This window comes from Homo sapiens, chromosome 5 (assembly GCF_000001405.40).
Source record: "Homo sapiens chromosome 5, GRCh38.p14 Primary Assembly".
Lineage (NCBI taxonomy): Eukaryota > Metazoa > Chordata > Mammalia > Primates > Hominidae > Homo > Homo sapiens.
The window spans coordinates 157,182,474-157,199,173 of NC_000005.10; the positions used below are offsets into that span (position 1 = coordinate 157,182,474).

Sequence of the window (16,700 nt, forward strand, 5' to 3'; positions counted from 1 at the left end):
TAGAAGTGAAAAGAATTGCTTGTCTTATTATCAGACTCTTACTGATAACAATTTACCAGTCAATCAGAAAACACATGGAATTACGTGCAAGTCCTCTTTGCTAGGTGGCCAGGAGCCCAGTTTGTGAACTTGGGGGATTTATCATGTAGAGCTAATAAATCGCATGGCATTACTCAATGCTTTTTTGTGAATGGAACATTTAAAGTTTTTGTTTCATATTGAAAGAACAGTCATGTACCTTTAAATATTTTTTTCAAAGTCCATTTTGCAGTTTTCACCAGTTCGTTTTTCTGATTCAACATAGTATCATCTCATTTAGTTAGTATTAATAATTCCTTAGCCCAACTGCTATTTGTGAACTGATTGTGAATTCAGCTCAATATTATTTGTAAGTAATCACAAAACCAGATGGCCTTAATTCAGAATATTATTGGTCATAATTTGCATGTAGACAAGGTTGTAAAATCACCCTACTTCTTTATCTGAGCATTATGGAAAATTTCAAGACAATTACTTCATTCTGGGGAGCCCTAGGCTACAGTTTCTAATTCTTCCATGTGAGATATAGAGAATACATGTCCAAACATCAAATTTCTTGTTTTCTAATGCCTTTTTTACTCTTATAAATAACATTTTAAAAGTATTTCTTTAATTATTTAATTATTATAGAAGTTTATTAATTAGAAATTTATCCAAGTTCCCTGAAAAAGGTAATATATGTGAATTATTATTGTTCATGTCTTAGGTATACTACATGGTTTCAGGCCACCAATTTGCACACAAGGCTGCATTAATATTACTCATAAGTAAATAACATTACACTTATGGGAAGAACATTTTCATTTTTAAATTAAAGGCTTCATTTTCAATCTGTAAAATGGGTGTGATAATAGTACCCATTTCATAGGAAGATGGCAAAGACTCAGAGGTATAATGTCTTTAGGCTGAACTTTTTGAAATTATTTGGCAGATCGAATATCAGATATTAGAAGTTTCAAACAATTCAACTTAATATATTAGGTACTTAGCATAGGCCCTGTCATCTGGTAAGCATCTAGTAAAAATTAACCATTATTTGTATCCCTTTCATGTCTCTACAGAAGCTAGCAGGCTGTCATAACAATTCATTTTCAAATTATGGGAGATATTCAAGGATTCTTCAAAGTCAAGCTAAGATCAGGGTCCTGGATTCCTTCTATTCTGTGGCTAAATATAAGTTTTGTGGGGTAGATATACATGCATTATGAGCTGTTTGGCCAGTTATTGCCCCTCTTAGGGTGTCGGGTGTCAGAGCTTCTTTTTCTCTTTTCTCATGTGTAAAATTATGATTCTTGCAGTTCTCATATTCTATGAATTTATAACACCATATGAAAAATAACCCTTCTACATACTCAAGAACATATTCTGTAATTCTAGAAATCAAGTATGTTTATTCTAACCTAAAAAATCATGCCTATTGTCATTATAATACTAATTGATTGAGGTTTTACTTTAACATGGTTTTAGTTCTGGTGTTCGATGCCTGTTTTTCCTGTTGAGATGTGCAAGTGTTTTCAGAGGGGCCAAGAAGCGCCTTCATCTTGCTGGAGCAGTGGGCCAGAAAGAAGCATAGATTTGGCAGGTGGTAGCTTGCAGACAGACATGATTTCAGAGGCTCTCCTGTGCCTGTCAATTTTTTTCCAAGTTGTCCCTGATGCCTGAAATTCTATGACAGAGGACAATGAGAGATAAGGGCACATGGATGTCCTGGTAAATGCTTAGGAATCCGAGTACAGGGCTTGTTGGAGAGCCCTGATTCATAGTGTTTGCCAATTCCTTTGGTGTAAATATTCCCATCATGGCCCATTTTAAACTACCAATGTGATGTCTGCTGGCTCACAGATTCCTGAAAACTTAACAATTAGCTACCTCGGGCCAGTACAAGCCGAGTCCAGCACACCGTCGGCAAGCCTAAGTACAAATGATCCTTGGAGAGGTAGCCACCAACTAAACAGCATACTTAGTTGCATGTGACTGATATCGGATCCTTTTCAGCGGTAAAGGGAAAATGGAGAGCCTCAGGCACTTTGAGTAAGCACAGGATGGAAGAGGCAGCCTAAATGGGAATAAAGCATCATAGATTGGTGTGGCTCACGTGGCCACTTTCTAGATGTGGGATCTCAGACCAGACACTTGACCTCTTTCTGCCTGTGTCCTATTTGTAAAGTAAGGACCCCAACACTACCTACTTCAAGTGATGTTGAGTATTTCATGAGAAAAGTATGTTATAAGCTTTTTACCAATTGCTACATGGTAAGGTGATTATTACTCACAATTTTGCCCAAGCACCACCTTGGTCTTCTGAAAGCCCCTCTGGAGAACTGGAAAGGTTCTCCTATTTTGATGACTCTTTGCCCCTTAGGGATCAAGTGTGCTGTGCTCCTTATGATGTGGGAGGCATTATCATTTACATGGAACAAGAGAAACAGTCAAGATCACCATTCCAGTAAGCATCTGGGTGAGGGTCTCCACTCCTCATGGCCTTTTCCCTTTAGCCTACAGTCTTATCTAGCAACAGAACCATCTCCTGCTTGCAGCAAGCATCCTTTCTAAATTAAAGATGGTAGGTGGGGAGATGGTCCCCTTTCCTTGCTTTTGAAAGCATTACTGCTAGTGATCACAAACACTGCTTCTGGAATCAGACAGATCTGGGTCAAAAACTAGCTCACATTTGATCTGTGTGATTTTGTATAAATTATATAATGCTGTGCAATTCTCTAAAAAGCTATCTTTTTTTTTTTTTTTAGACAGAGTCTTGCTGTGTCACCCAGGCTGGAGCACAGTGGTGCCACCTTGGTTCACTGCAACCTCTGCCTCCCAGGTTCAAGTGATTCCTCTGCCTCAGCCTCTTGAGTAGCTGGAACTACGGGTGCGCGCCATCATGCTTGGCTAATTTTTGTATTTTTTTTTAGTAGAGACGGGGTTTCACCATATTGGCCAGCTGGTCTCGAACTCCTGACCTCATGGTCTGCCCACCTCGGCCTCCCAAAGTGCTGGGATTACAGATGTGAGCCATCGCGCCTGGCCTATGTTTTTAAAATAATTAAGCAAGGCCAGACACAGAGACTCACGCCTGCAATCCCAACATTTTGGGAGGCCTAGGTGGGCGGATCACTTGAGCCCAGGAATTTGAAACCAGCCTGGGCAACATGGTGAGACTCCGTCTCCACAAAAAAAAAAAAAAAGCCAGATGTGGTGCTGCATGCCTGTAGTCCCAGTTACACAGGAGGGTGAGGTGGGAGGATCCCTTGAGCCCAGGAGGTTGAGACTGCAGTGAGCTGTGATCATGCCACTGTAATCCAGCCTGGGCAACAGGCTGAGACCTGGTCTCAAAAATAAAATAAAATAATTAAACATTCCTTCATGATCTTATTTCCTTTTAATAAGATGGAGGTCACCTTTATTCTCATAAGATAGTAACTAACATTTACTGAGCACTTACTACATGTCCAACACTGTGCAAAAATGTGAATTATTTCACCTAACCATTATAACCACTCTGTAAGTTAGGAACTGTTATTACCCCAATTTGTAGGTCAAGAAATTGAGACAAAGAGGGTTTAAACAACTTGCCTGATGTCCCACGTCTCTAGAGTCTACATTACTCTCTGATAAATAGTACTTATTACCATAGTTGTTACTCATAGGTAATCAGGGATTCCATTGGGTTATTACACAGTATGCAATACATTCTTGCTCTGAAGTCCCCAGTGTAAAGGACAGTCCTGAAAATTGGTACCCCCTGCCAAATGGGTCTTCTGCAATGAAATATTTTAGGACCTCTACGTTTTCCACAAATGCCCCAGGACAAATCCTTGTCTTTATTCACTTCAAGAAGCCCCGCTATGTGTCTTAAAAAAAAAAAAAAAGAGAGAGAGAGAGGCGGGCACGATGGCCCATGCCTGTAATTCCAGCACTTTGGGAGGCTGGGGCAGGTGGATCACCTGAGGGCAGGAGTTCACGAGCAGCCTGGCTAATATGGTAAAACCCCATTTCTACTAAAAACACAAAAAGTTAGCCAGGCATGGTGGCAGATGCCTGTAATCCCAGCTACTCGGGAGGCTGAAGCAGGAGAATTGCTTGAACCCAGGAGGCAGAGGTTGCAGAGAGCCAAGATTGTGCGATTGCACTCCAGCCTGGGCAACAAGAGTGAAACTCCGTCTCAAAAAAAGAGAGAGAGAGAGAGAGAGAGAGAGAGCCTTGGCAAGCTTTGCCTCCTAAAGTTCTCCTAGAATCTCCCCAGATTCCCACAGGATATCTCTCACCTGGGACTGTCAGCATATCTATCACCTGGGACTGCTACCACCTCTCATGTTGTCCCTGCACCCGCTTCACCCCTGCCTGCCACTTCATCCTCCACATGGCAACCAGCACCAGCTTTTCACATGTGACTGTAGTCAAGTCCTGATGACCTTCATCAGACGTTGATGTGTCCCTACAGCGGCTCTCCCCATTGCCCTAACGATGGACACCAGCAGAATCTAACACATGGTCTCGTCTGTCTCAGCTCATGTCTCACTTTCCCTCATCTCTGGAATCCAACCACACCAGGTTTTCTTCAACGTTAAAGCCTCCGTTTTAAGTGTCACTTACTTGGGAAAGCCTTCCTTGATGTCCCTAGACTAAGTCATGTCCTCCTGTCCTGTTCTACCACAGCACCAGGTGTCCTTTCTTCACAGCACATGCTGAAGTTGTAACTACTCATTTGTTAATGTGATGATGTATTAATGTAATTTCCCCACCTCACCCTCCATTGAACTATCAGCTTTATGAGAGCAGGCACCCAAGTTGATAAAGATGGCCTTGCCAGTGTCTACAAGAGTGTCTGGCACACACTATTCACTCATGCATCATTTGTGGAGGGAATAAAAGGAGAAAGGGAGAAAAGAAAGGAGGGAGTAAGGACATAAGGTATAGATTCAGCTGGAGAGGTTAGAGACACAAACGAAGCTCAAATAGAGAAGGTTCAATACCCAAATAATAGAGACCAAGGCAAGTGACATAGGACTTCAAAAGGGAGATTACTGGGTGTAGAAACAAGTAACAAAGACTCCCTGGAGGTAGTAGTGTGTGGCCTATCGTTGAACAAGGAAGAGGAAGATTCAGATATTCAGGTGGTTGGAATTTTAAGTGCTGGGTCAGAAAGGCACATGTAGGAACTAGCAGGAGGGCCGGGTCCCAGCCCTCAACTCTTTTTAGGAGAATTAAGCAACTCTTTTCTCCTTTTTCCTCTGCCTGTCTTACCCCTCCTTCCTTGCCTTTTACAGCTAAAGCCTCCGTAGATAATATTCTTTTTTTTTTTCTTGACCCAGAACCTTGCTCTGTTGCCCAGGCTGGGGTACAGTGGTGGGATCACAGCTCACTGTAGCCTCAGCTTCCCAGGCTCAAGTGATCCTTCTGCCTCAACCTCCTGAGTTTCTGGGACTAGAGGCATGCACCATCATCCTTGGCTATTTAAAAAAAAAATTTATAGAGACAGGGTCTCACTATATTGCCCAGGCTGTTCTCAAATTCCTGGGCTCAAGCAATCCTCCTGCCTCAGCCTCCAAAAGTGCTGGGATTACAGGCATGAGCCACCATGCCTCGCCATGCAGATAATATTCTTAAAACTACCCAGGCATTTTTACTTGTGACATTGAGCAGTCATGGGCTCTCTTCTCTTCATTCCCATGTCATTCAGTTGCCTTCCAGCTGGGCTTCTGCTGGCATTTGAAGTTTTTTACAGTCTGTTATCCACACAACACCTAGAATGAACCTTAAAATTTTAAATCAGATACTACTTTCTACCTTAAAACCCTCCATGGCTATTTAGGGTATTTAAATAAATTCTCAACTATGCCCTTCAAGACCCTTCATCCTGTGGTCCCAGCCTGCCTTCTTTATTTCACTTCACACCACACTCCCTTTATGTGCTTCTGTCACATCTGCCTTCTTCCTGAACCATAAGCACTCCAAGCTCAAGGTCTCAGCAGGGCCTTTGTACAGGGCCAGGACTAGGGTGAGACAAGTGAGACACACACATAAAATGGCACTCATTCTCAGGATGCAGGATCTTTGCATTAGCTGTTTCCACTGTCTCAAACACCCCAGATTTTTGCAGGAGGGTTTGTTTGTTTGCTTGTTTGTCTGAAACATGGTCTTGCTCTGTTACCCAGGCTAGAATGCAGTGGCGGAATCTTGGGTCACTGCAACCTCTGCCTTTCAGACTCAAGCGATCCTCTCGACTAGCTGGGACTACAGAAGTGCATCACCACGCCTGGCTAATTCTGTTGTTGATTTATTTCCCATCTCTTCAAAGCACATAGATACCTTAGTATCTGCATTTATTTGTTAGGTTTATGGATCTGCTTCCCTGTTTAATTTCTGTCTGTCCATCTAATGGAAGGGCAGTTCCATGAGAGCAGAGATCTTGACTGTCTTCTTCATCACAGTATCACCATCATCTAAAACAGTTCTGGGCACTGGTTAGTTGTAGTAGGTGATCAGTAAATATCCGGGGAATGAATGAAGGTCACATAACTCATGTTGCATTCAGAAAAGCATCTGAAAGCTAAAAATGTGGGCCTTGTCTAGCCACACAGAGACAAGAAAGGGCCCAAGCAAAGTACTTTGCAATTGAGACATGCACAGTTTGCATCTGTTTTAATGGAGTGTCATCATGAATTGATCTTTGCCTGTGTAATGTGAGGTTAATGTTTTATGGAGATAACCGTTGTATTGATATTTTCTTTTCTCACAATAAAATTAGATTTGATTCCTACTGTTCAGGGACTGGTACACCCATTCATCAGTTTCTGCAGTAGAAATAGCCCACAGAGAAATACTATAAACACGAGAGTTTAGATTCTGACTCAGTCTGAAAGAAAGCAGAAGAGCTCAGTTTCAGCCTGGGCACAGTGGCTTATGCCTGTAATCCTCGCACTTTGGGAGGCCAAGGCGGGCGGATTACCTGAACTCAGGAGTTTGAGACAAGCCTAGCCAACATGGCGAAACCCTATCTCTACTAAAAATACAAAAAATTAGTCAGGCGTGGTGGCATATGCCTGTAATCTCAGCTACTTGAAAGGCTGAAGCAGGAGAATTGCTTGAACCCAGGAGGCAGAGGTTGCAGTAGGCTGAGATCGCACCACTGCACTCCAGCCTGGGCGACACAGCAAGGTGCTGTCACAAAACAGAAAAAAAGGAAAAGAAGAAGAGCTCAGTTTCTTGAACTACAAGCTCCATGTAAAACAAGACATGTAAATATCAAACGTGGAAATCGTGTCTACAAAAAACTATTTTAAAGCTCTTCGCAAATGTTCATGGACCAAATAGTAAATCCTCATTCCACCCTCATTTTCTTAACGAACTAATAATACATTCCTCCCATTCATCAGTGAATTATGAGGCCTACTGGAAAAAGTAGACCTTCCAGGACATAATTTTCATCCAGAGGTCAGTTTGGGTTTGGCTTCATGACACTCAGAGGCCTCACTAAAAGTGATCCTAAGGAGAAAACAGGTCTGTAATGCCTTCCCATGCATATAAAAGTCCCCTTTTGGATCAACAGTCTTCTCAGTTCCTTGAAATTCAGTAAAAGTTTTCTGTATTTTAATAAAATAAGAGCTAGATACAGGTTCTTATGTCTTATGTTGCCATATAATTCCTATTAACCTAAAGTTATTTGTAAGTAGGCTTCTCATTATATTTTTCCTTTTCTGATATTTAAAAAGTCACAGAAATTATAACTGTTTGTTATAAAAATTCAACTATAGGGATTTTTCCCCCCAAACTTCATATATTTTGCCATATCTTTATTATGATTATTATTGGTTTGTTTGTTTTTATTGACTCTGTATCAAGGAAACGTTTCTGTGTTGGTACATTTCAATTTATTCATTTGTTCCGCAAACATTTTGTAAATAGCTGCTCTGTGCCAGGCACCACGCTAGATGTGAGGAACGCAGTGGTAAGTAATGGAGGCAGGTGTCTTAGGTTGGTGCACAAGTAACTGAGGTTTTTAATTGAGGTCAATTACTTGTGCACCACCCTAATAGCTTGCATTCTAGGGGATGGGACAGACAGCAAGCAAGTGTATAACTGCATAGGGCAGATAGAGAATGTGGTAGGTTCTATGGCAAGACCAGGCAGCCACTCTGGCTGAACTGGGAGGTGGGGTGGTCAGAGAAGGAATTTATAGCTAAACTGAAGTTTGAGGAAATAACTAGTTAAATGAAGAAATGGGAAAGAGCATTCTGGGCAGAGGGAACGGCAAGTACAAAGACCCTGAGGAAGGAAAAAGCTTGGCTTGCGTGAGGAACAGAGATTTGAACATGCAGAGTTCAAGAGAGGGGCACAAGACGAGGGGCAGAAGCCAAACTCTGCAGGCCCTTGTGGATCATGGCAAGGAGTTTGGATTTGATTCCAACTCCCATGAAAAGTTTCCAAGGTTGAAGCAGTGGGTGTGAGTCCCTCCATCTAGAAGTGAACTGACAGCTATGGGGTCAGCAGATTATACAATGGCCAAGAATAGAAGCCAGGAAGCTGGGTACAGTCTCCTGCAGTGGTCTCCTGGGCCATTGTGTAGTGTCCCATCCTACGAGTTGTTCTTCAGTTGTCTTATGTTTTTTTATTTATTTATTTATTTATTTTATTTTTTTATTTTTGAGACGGAGTCTCACTCTGTCACCCAGGCTGGAGTGCAGTGGCACAGTCTCGGCTCACTGCAACCTCCGCAGTGGTCTTATGTTTTAACTTTTTTGTGGCATCCTTCTTCCTGGGGGTACTTTGTCCAGAATCATCTCACTCCATGTTTTGATGGGAAAGTGCCTGGTGTATAACCTGCGTCAGGATCAACACTGAGCTCAGATAGACAGTAGCAGCAAAGACTGAAACCAAATTAGAATTGAGTTAAATCAGCTTTGATTAATCTCAAGACAGAGCAAGGAATATTCTGATCCTCATATTGTCAAAAAAAATTAATGAACCAAGTACATTCAGAATGTTTTCTATAATTTGGTCTGAAGACATCAATTTACTATCTGTGTCAGCACTGGTCTTTTCCCTCATGCAGATGTATCTTTTGCAGAGTTATAATCATAATGCATGACAATTTTATATTCTACTTTTCTATCTATTCTTTCATATAAATGTATTTCCATATATCTACAATGCCTCCAAAGTAATCATTTTTCATATATATGATTTTTTAATGGTTGAGTCAGTTCATTGCAAGAACATGCTTATCTATTTTATATACGTGGAGGAATAGGTGAACTTATCTGTTAGCTATGGTTCAACATTCAGGTTGTTTCCAGGTATAATGAAAACACCAAAAAAAAGCAGTATACATAATATAGGGCTGTCTCATTTTTAAAATCAGCTTCTTAGGATAGAGTGCCCCAAATAGGATAATTGTGTCACAGGATAAGAACATTTTCTGGTCTTGATCATTTATTGCTACATCATCTTCCAAAGAGATTGAAGAAGCAGTGTGTGGGCCACCAAAAGCGGCACCATGTTTGTTTTCAGAACCATTAGAGAAGATTATGTTTCTAAAAAGGAACTAATAGAAACAAAAGAATCTCACTGTTGTGATTTTCAAGTACTCCATTTTGAATGTTTTAGTGAGAGAGAGGGGAAAATACGTGATCTTTTATACATAGGTGAGATGGTTTGGTTTAAAGTCAGTGTCACATGTATGTAGATGAACCCACCACCTGCATAGTTGGATTTAAGGGGTGCCAAAAGGTCTCCTACTCTGCAAAACCTGAATGCCCGAACTGACTGTCACAGAGTAGGGGTGGTCTGAAAGGTTCCCATGAATGAGCTCTTTGGGTTAGGTCATGAAACACCTTATCAAGGAGCAAATGAAATACAAGAAGGTGTCACAGGAGCCACTTTTGACTGTTCCGTAGAAGTTAGTTTTAATTTTAGACAGGGCCTATGACACTGAAATTCTCAGGCTGTAATTCCAGAAAAGCGGATGAGGTGAGCAAGGAACAACAGGGCAGCCTAATAGAAAAGAGATTTGGACCCGGGTCACCGGGCTAATTCTTTACTCTCTCTGGGATTTAGCTTTCTTGTCCATAAAATCAAAGGATTCAGCTGATCAATGCTTTTTCAAAATTTAAAAAACATTTTAATATAAAATTATACAAGCCATCACCATCCCCACATATAAAACAGAGAGAAGTGGAAGTTCTCTGCTTGAAGCAGGGCAGGGAAACTGCCCAGAACCCTATGCCCCTTGGCCTGTCCCTTACTTTCAGGGATCAACAAGTTATCTTCCAACTCTGTGACCCTTCCCCCTGGGATGTAAATTGAATAGTAGAAATGAAAAGACAAAGCCAGTTTAGAAAGTCACCTTGAAACCTCATTGTCCTCATCTCTAACATTATAAAGTTGGACTGAATGATTTCTAAAGACTCTTCCAGTTCAAAAACATGGAAACTTGGCTCACATTTGTAATACCAACACTTTGAGAGGTTGGCATTACAGGATCTCTTGACGGCACGAGTTTGAGACCAGCCTGGGTAACATAGTGAGATCCCATCTCCACAAAAACAAAAAATAAAAAAATTAGCTGGGCATGGTTGTGCACACCTATAGTCCAGCTATTTGGGAAGCTGAGGGAAGAGGATTGCTTAAGCCCAGGAGTTTAAGGTTGCAGTGAGCTATGATTGCACCACTGCACTCCAGCCTGGGCTACAGAGCGAGACCCTATCTCTCTTTGTTTTTAAGTGGAAATTGTGTATCTCTGCCAATTATATCAGGAATTCACAAAAAGTGATGGAGATTAGCCAAACATGGAAATCTTTCCAGGAAGTAATACCTTTAGGGTGATTAATAACTGTGTGGCTCATGAGAAAGCATGTTGTCAAAATACAAGCATGACCCCAAGAACGCACCCTAAAAATGAAGTCAGACATTTCATGTGTAACCAATACAAAATCTGAAATAATAACAGCCAATATTTAATGAGTTCTCGCTGTGTTTCATAGCATCAAGGTTAAGTGTTTTATATGTCTTATATCATAAATATTCACAATAACCACATTCATTATGTTATCCTATTGTTATCCCCATGTCATTTATGAGAAGGCTGAGGTTTATAGAAACTAAGTATCTCTATCTAGGTTACACATATAGGACGAATATTAAAAGTTGGATTAAATGTTCTTCAATGGACATTTTCAGATCTAAGCTTGTTTGGGTCTGATAAGTCTTTTAATAGAAGCTGAAAAGGCAGAGTTGGGGCAAGGATTTGTTGGTGAGTTTCTAACATAATCCAATAGAGGTGTTGAGTCGGGACCAGCAGGCTTGCTCCAGATTGCCCAGCAGACTTACCCGAAAGACAGCAGAAACATCATCAACAGCAACAATTTTTTTTAAAAAACCACAATAGTTAGCATCACTACAAGAAGAGGACTGAACACTTTGTTAAGTATTTTCTCATTTCCTCCTTACAATTCTTTGAACAAGATAAAAGTAAAATTTTGTTTTGGTGAGGAAGCAATGGAGCTACGAGGACGGTAAGTAATTTACCCAAGGAAGCAAAGTGAAAAGTGTAAAGGCAACAGCATGCCTTAGGACATAAGGATTCCCTATACTTTGCTCCTACATACATTAGTGTGACCTGTCCTGATATCTCTGTGGTTACCCAAGTAGAATTACATTTTGCAAGAAGGTAATTCTACTTACCTTCACGACTGCGAGCATCTCAGCCAGTTTCTCGCTGCGAGTTTGTGAATTCGCCAGTCTTTGGTGACTTTGCAGAGTGTGTTTCCATTCACCTGAACTCTATGGGCTGACAAACATGAGTTCCTGGACTTGTAAACCTGAGGATCTGTTCCTGGGGTGGCCTCTGACAAGGAAAGATGCTGTATCCGCCTCAGCACTATTTAATTTTCCAGATTAACAACTAATAGCAGCATTAGCCACTTATTGAGCCTTTTCTGGGAATAACATTCTGGGAAAGCTATATCCAAAGTGGTAATACAAGGAGTACCAGGAGGAAAGTATTAGCCTAGCGAAGTGACCCAGAAAGGGAGTTTGAGGGAGCTAATACCAAACCTCACCCTTTTCCACAATCCATGCTGAGGCCATTTCCATGACAATGATCCAATTTGGTGTTTCCCAAAGTGGGGTACTATCAGGAGCACACAAGATGGCACATGGACAAATCTGGTTTTAACATGTCTTTAATAGTTATGTATCTACTATAATTTATGTTAGAAATAAGTGTTTTAAAATTTATGGTGGTAATTTAAAGTTTCCTCCTAGAATAAATTTGTTTATGTGGAAAAAATAAGTCAATTGAAAGAATACTATTGAGCAGACAATACTATTTGAGGGAACTAGGGTATGGTAGAAATTGCCAAGCTAAGTTGGAAACTGAAGCCTGGGAGCACTGAATCCTTGGGATAACAACATGAATCATAATTCATTATAATTTGCTTTTAAGTAGTTCCAAGAGTGAAATGTAATAACCTCCACTGGACATTTGGAGACGCAGAGGTGATCCACAGAGTCCAGGGCACTTGAAGATATTGGGTTGCTGCAAAAGTAATTGTGGTTTTTGCCATTAATAGATATAAGCACAGAGGAGCAGGGAAGATGGTCAAAAGAGATCCCAGGCCCCCACGTTCTGCCAGAGCACAGTGAGCAAATGAGCCTCCTGCCACAAACTGAACCCACATTTCTCTCAATCCAAGAAAAGGCTGTTCTAATTCCAAACAAGCTCATTGTAAACCTCAATAACATGAAGTTAGTATTGTTCACGTTGCTTTCCAACTGTGTTTCAGATTTATATAACTGGTTCCTAACACATAATTAACTGCTGTTGGAATGAATCTTTGTCCCCTTGCCTCCGTGCCTGCTGGACTTCATATCTGTGTATTAATAGTCACTTTTGTTTGGCGATCTTGTGAAAAATGCAGACTAATTTTTAATCCTTAAAGAGATAATACATTCACATAATTTTATTTTTATTTTTTCAGATAATGGCCTTTCGCCATGTGGCACATTTCAATAATTTTAAAAAAACAGTTGCAAAATGTTATGCAGTAACAAATCTCCCATCTTTGTCCCAAGTCACATTGCTGTCCTACATCACAGCAACCACGATAGTTAATTTCTTATAAGTTCTTCCAATAATACTTTATACATATACTTGTAATACTAATAAACATTCTTCTTTTCTTCCTTTTTAAATAGTAGTAACATACTCTGCACACACTTCTTAACTTTTCTTTTAGTTGGTTAACAATGTATCCTGGAGATTGATCCACACTGATACACAAAGATATTCTTCATTCTGTTTATGGTTGCATAATACTTCATTGTATGCATGAAAAATTTCTTTTAATGAAGGTTGGTCTGTTTCCAGTTTTTGTTATTATGCACAATGAGAAATGAACAGCCTTGTAGATGTGTCATTTTCCATAAATACTTTTATAACAGTGGTTCTCAACCAAAGGTGATTTTGCCCACCAGGGGACATTTGACAAAACCTGGGGAAATTTTTGGTTGTTATAAGTGGGGAGGAGGGTGCCACCAACATCTAGTGGGTAGAAGCTGAGGGTGCTGCTAAATATCCTACAATTCACAGGACAGACTCACAACAAAAAATTATTCAGCCCAAAATGTCAATAATGCTGAGGCTGAGAAGCTCCAGTCTGTAGAAAACATTTCTAGAAGTGGAATTGCTGAGTCAAAGGATATTTGCATCTGTTATTTTGTTGACTATGAGCAAATTACTCTCTACAGAAGTTGTACCAGTGAACATTCCCCAGGGCCACATGTGAGAAGCATGTTTTCTCAAAACCTCACAAACACCATTATCTTATGTTTTGATCTTTGCTAATCTGATAGGGGTTTAAAAAATAGTACTTAAGTATAATTTATTTGCATTTCTGTTGTTATAGTGACATTAAGCATCTTTCCATATGCTTAAATATATTCCTTTTGTTCATTTTCCTATAAGTTTATTAGTATTTTATTTAATTTGTAGGAGCTCTTTAACTACCAGCTAAACACTTTGGGCAGACTAGTTTTAACCTACATTTTCATTGTCAAGAGATTTTTATCCACCTGCCAATTTTTCTGGAAATCTTATTCCAAATCATTTCCATTAAAAGTTTTGTCATAGGGTTCACAATAATCACTTTCTGCTGCATACTTGGTTTTACTTGCTGTTCCTTCAATCAATTAACAGATATTAATTGAACATCGCCTCAGTGCAAGCAGTTATTTCCTGAAATGCAATGAAGTTTTTATGCACTTATGTATTTTGGCTACTGGTCCTTCAGTGCTTAAAAAGAAGACACAAAAAATACGTTCTTTCAAACTCATTTAACATTTCATATTTCTTATTCTGGGAGGAAGGTCTTTGAAGGAATATTCACAGCTCAGAGATACTGACAGAAACAATACAGAGGATGCCTTGAGAATCTACTTTATGCTTGGAAAATATCACTTAGTTCTTGCTCCTAATTTCCACATAAGTCCTTTTCTCTCTGCTCCCTTTTGTAAGAAAATCTAAACACACATGTTTTCAACATGCTAGGATCATGTTACCTTGATCTAGTAAGAATGGGGCTTGGACATTATTCCTGAGTTATCATTTCACTTATAAGATAAATATACCCATATAAAAGCACACTGAATTACTTTATTAGAATCTATGAAGAAAAAGGCTATCCCTCAAGAAGAACATGAGAGAGACTGTCATGTACTTGAACCCCCATGGATACAGATGAGCAGGTGGCAGGTGCTCTCTAGCTGCTGCTCACTGCTAATGGGGTTATGCGGTTACAAGGGCGTGCATCATTTCGCACACCCAGCATTTGATGCATACCCCTTATTCCTCTCCCATAATCATCTAAGTTGACACTATGATGTTTTTGAAACTTCTAACTGTATTAAAATATTATTTTCATTTCTCTGCTTTTCCTCCTGCTTCACACTCTCTGTAAAAACTTCAAATATCATAAGAATATATAACTTTGTGAAATTCTGCCACAGTGGAACCTACAACAAAGAACCAGTGTTAGCAGCTTGGAATGTTTTTCTTCTTGTATTATTTCTTTGGATATTGCATATACTAATACATAATCTCTTCTTCCAAAAATGGGATGATGCTCCATCTGTTGCTTTAAATCTGCTCTTTAACACTTGGTATATACTTTTGTCCCTCTGTATAGATGAACTTTATTATCTGTTAATGGTTACAGAGTAGTCATTATGTATGATGACGAATTTAACCATACACAGATGGATGTTTAACCATAACTAATTTAACCATTTGTCTATTGATGGATATTTAAGTTTTTCCAGTTTATTTTAGTGTAATAAATAATGCTTCTGTGAAAATCCTTTTTATTACATCTTTATATATTTTGAACAAATGTTTCCATAGAATAAATCAGATCAGGGAAATGTATTTATTCATTTTAGTTAACTGTTTTTAATATTATAAAAGAAATACACATTCATGGCAAAATATTCAAAGAGTACAGAAGGATACAAGGTAAAAAGAAAAGCTCCTTGGGAGGCCAAGGCGGGTGGATTGCTTGAGACCAGGAGTTCAAGGCCAATCTGGACAACAGAGCAAGACTCTATCTCTTAAGAAAAAAAAAAAAAGGAAAGAAAGAAAGCTCTCTTCACACTCCCTACTCCCAGCCCCCAGGACCACCCACACAGGTATCTGCTCTTCATAGTTTCTTATGAGAAAACACATTTTAATAGATGATCCTAAATTGCCCTCTGAAAACTGTATGTAAGAATAATTCTTTTTCTTTTCTTTTCTTTCCTTCTTTGTTCCTTTCCTTCTTTCCTTTTGAAAAGTCTCACTTTTTTCATTTGGGTGGCCAGGGTGTTACTATTTTCAAATGGCAGGTTTTAAAGGAAGTGAAATTGTTTTCCTCATAGCACATCCAGCCACATGGTAACCCACAGTGCGAAATGCTGAGGTGGAGAAAGCCAGCCAACGGTGGGCCAGTGATGAGTAAGAGGTCTTATGGAAAAGAAGAGAGAAACGAAGACAGGTGTGGGATGGATCAGTTTCCTGGCTTTAAGGTGGTCCAGGGAGCCTTGAAATTAATGGTCTTAGCTCCAGACTTTCCCAGAGCTTTAGAATAGAGGGAGGTTAGGTCTAGCTGAAGATGGGCTGGGGAGGGAGGAACTAGGAACAGCTCATTGCAAATTGCTCTGGTGTTTTACAAGATGCTAATTTTTCCATAGAGACAGTAATGAGCATATCTTTTTTGTTTTGTTTTATCTTGTTTTGTTTGAGACAGTGTCTCACTCTATCACCCAGAGTGCAGGGACATGATAATGACTCACTGCAACCTCAACCCCCCAGGCTCAACTGATCCTCCTGCCTCAGCCTCCGGAGTGGCTGGTACTACGGGCATGTGCCACCACACCTGGCTAACTTTTAAAATTTTTTTGTAGAGACAGGGCCTCACTATGTTACCCAGACTGTTGTTGAACTCCTGGCCTCAGGCGACCCTCCTTCTTTGGCCTCCCAAAGTGTTGGGATTATAGGCATGAGCCATTGCTACTAGCATTTGCTAGTAGGTTTATGTAATTTTAAAAAATTCTCTTAATTAACTTAATGATTCAGAGACTATTCTTATGTCGCTTTTGAAAAATGAGGCAACTGAGAGGTTGAGACA

General features: G+C 39.9%; 1 protein-coding gene across 1 annotated transcript in view, besides 1 other annotated feature; it reads left to right on the forward strand.

The window, feature by feature from the left end:
* Window positions 1–16,700, forward strand: part of ITK (IL2 inducible T cell kinase) — a 74,346-nt gene that overhangs the window by 1,634 nt on the left and 56,012 nt on the right. The gene's annotated exons all lie outside the window — the stretch shown is intronic.
* Window positions 6,767–6,856: a silencer, noted in NCBI's record as "silent region_16556". NCBI's record gives its function as "represses an Ori minimal core promoter by ATAC-STARR-seq in GM12878 lymphoblastoid cells {active_cell/tissue: GM12878}" and the evidence as "EXISTENCE:reporter gene assay evidence [ECO:0000049][PMID:35858748]".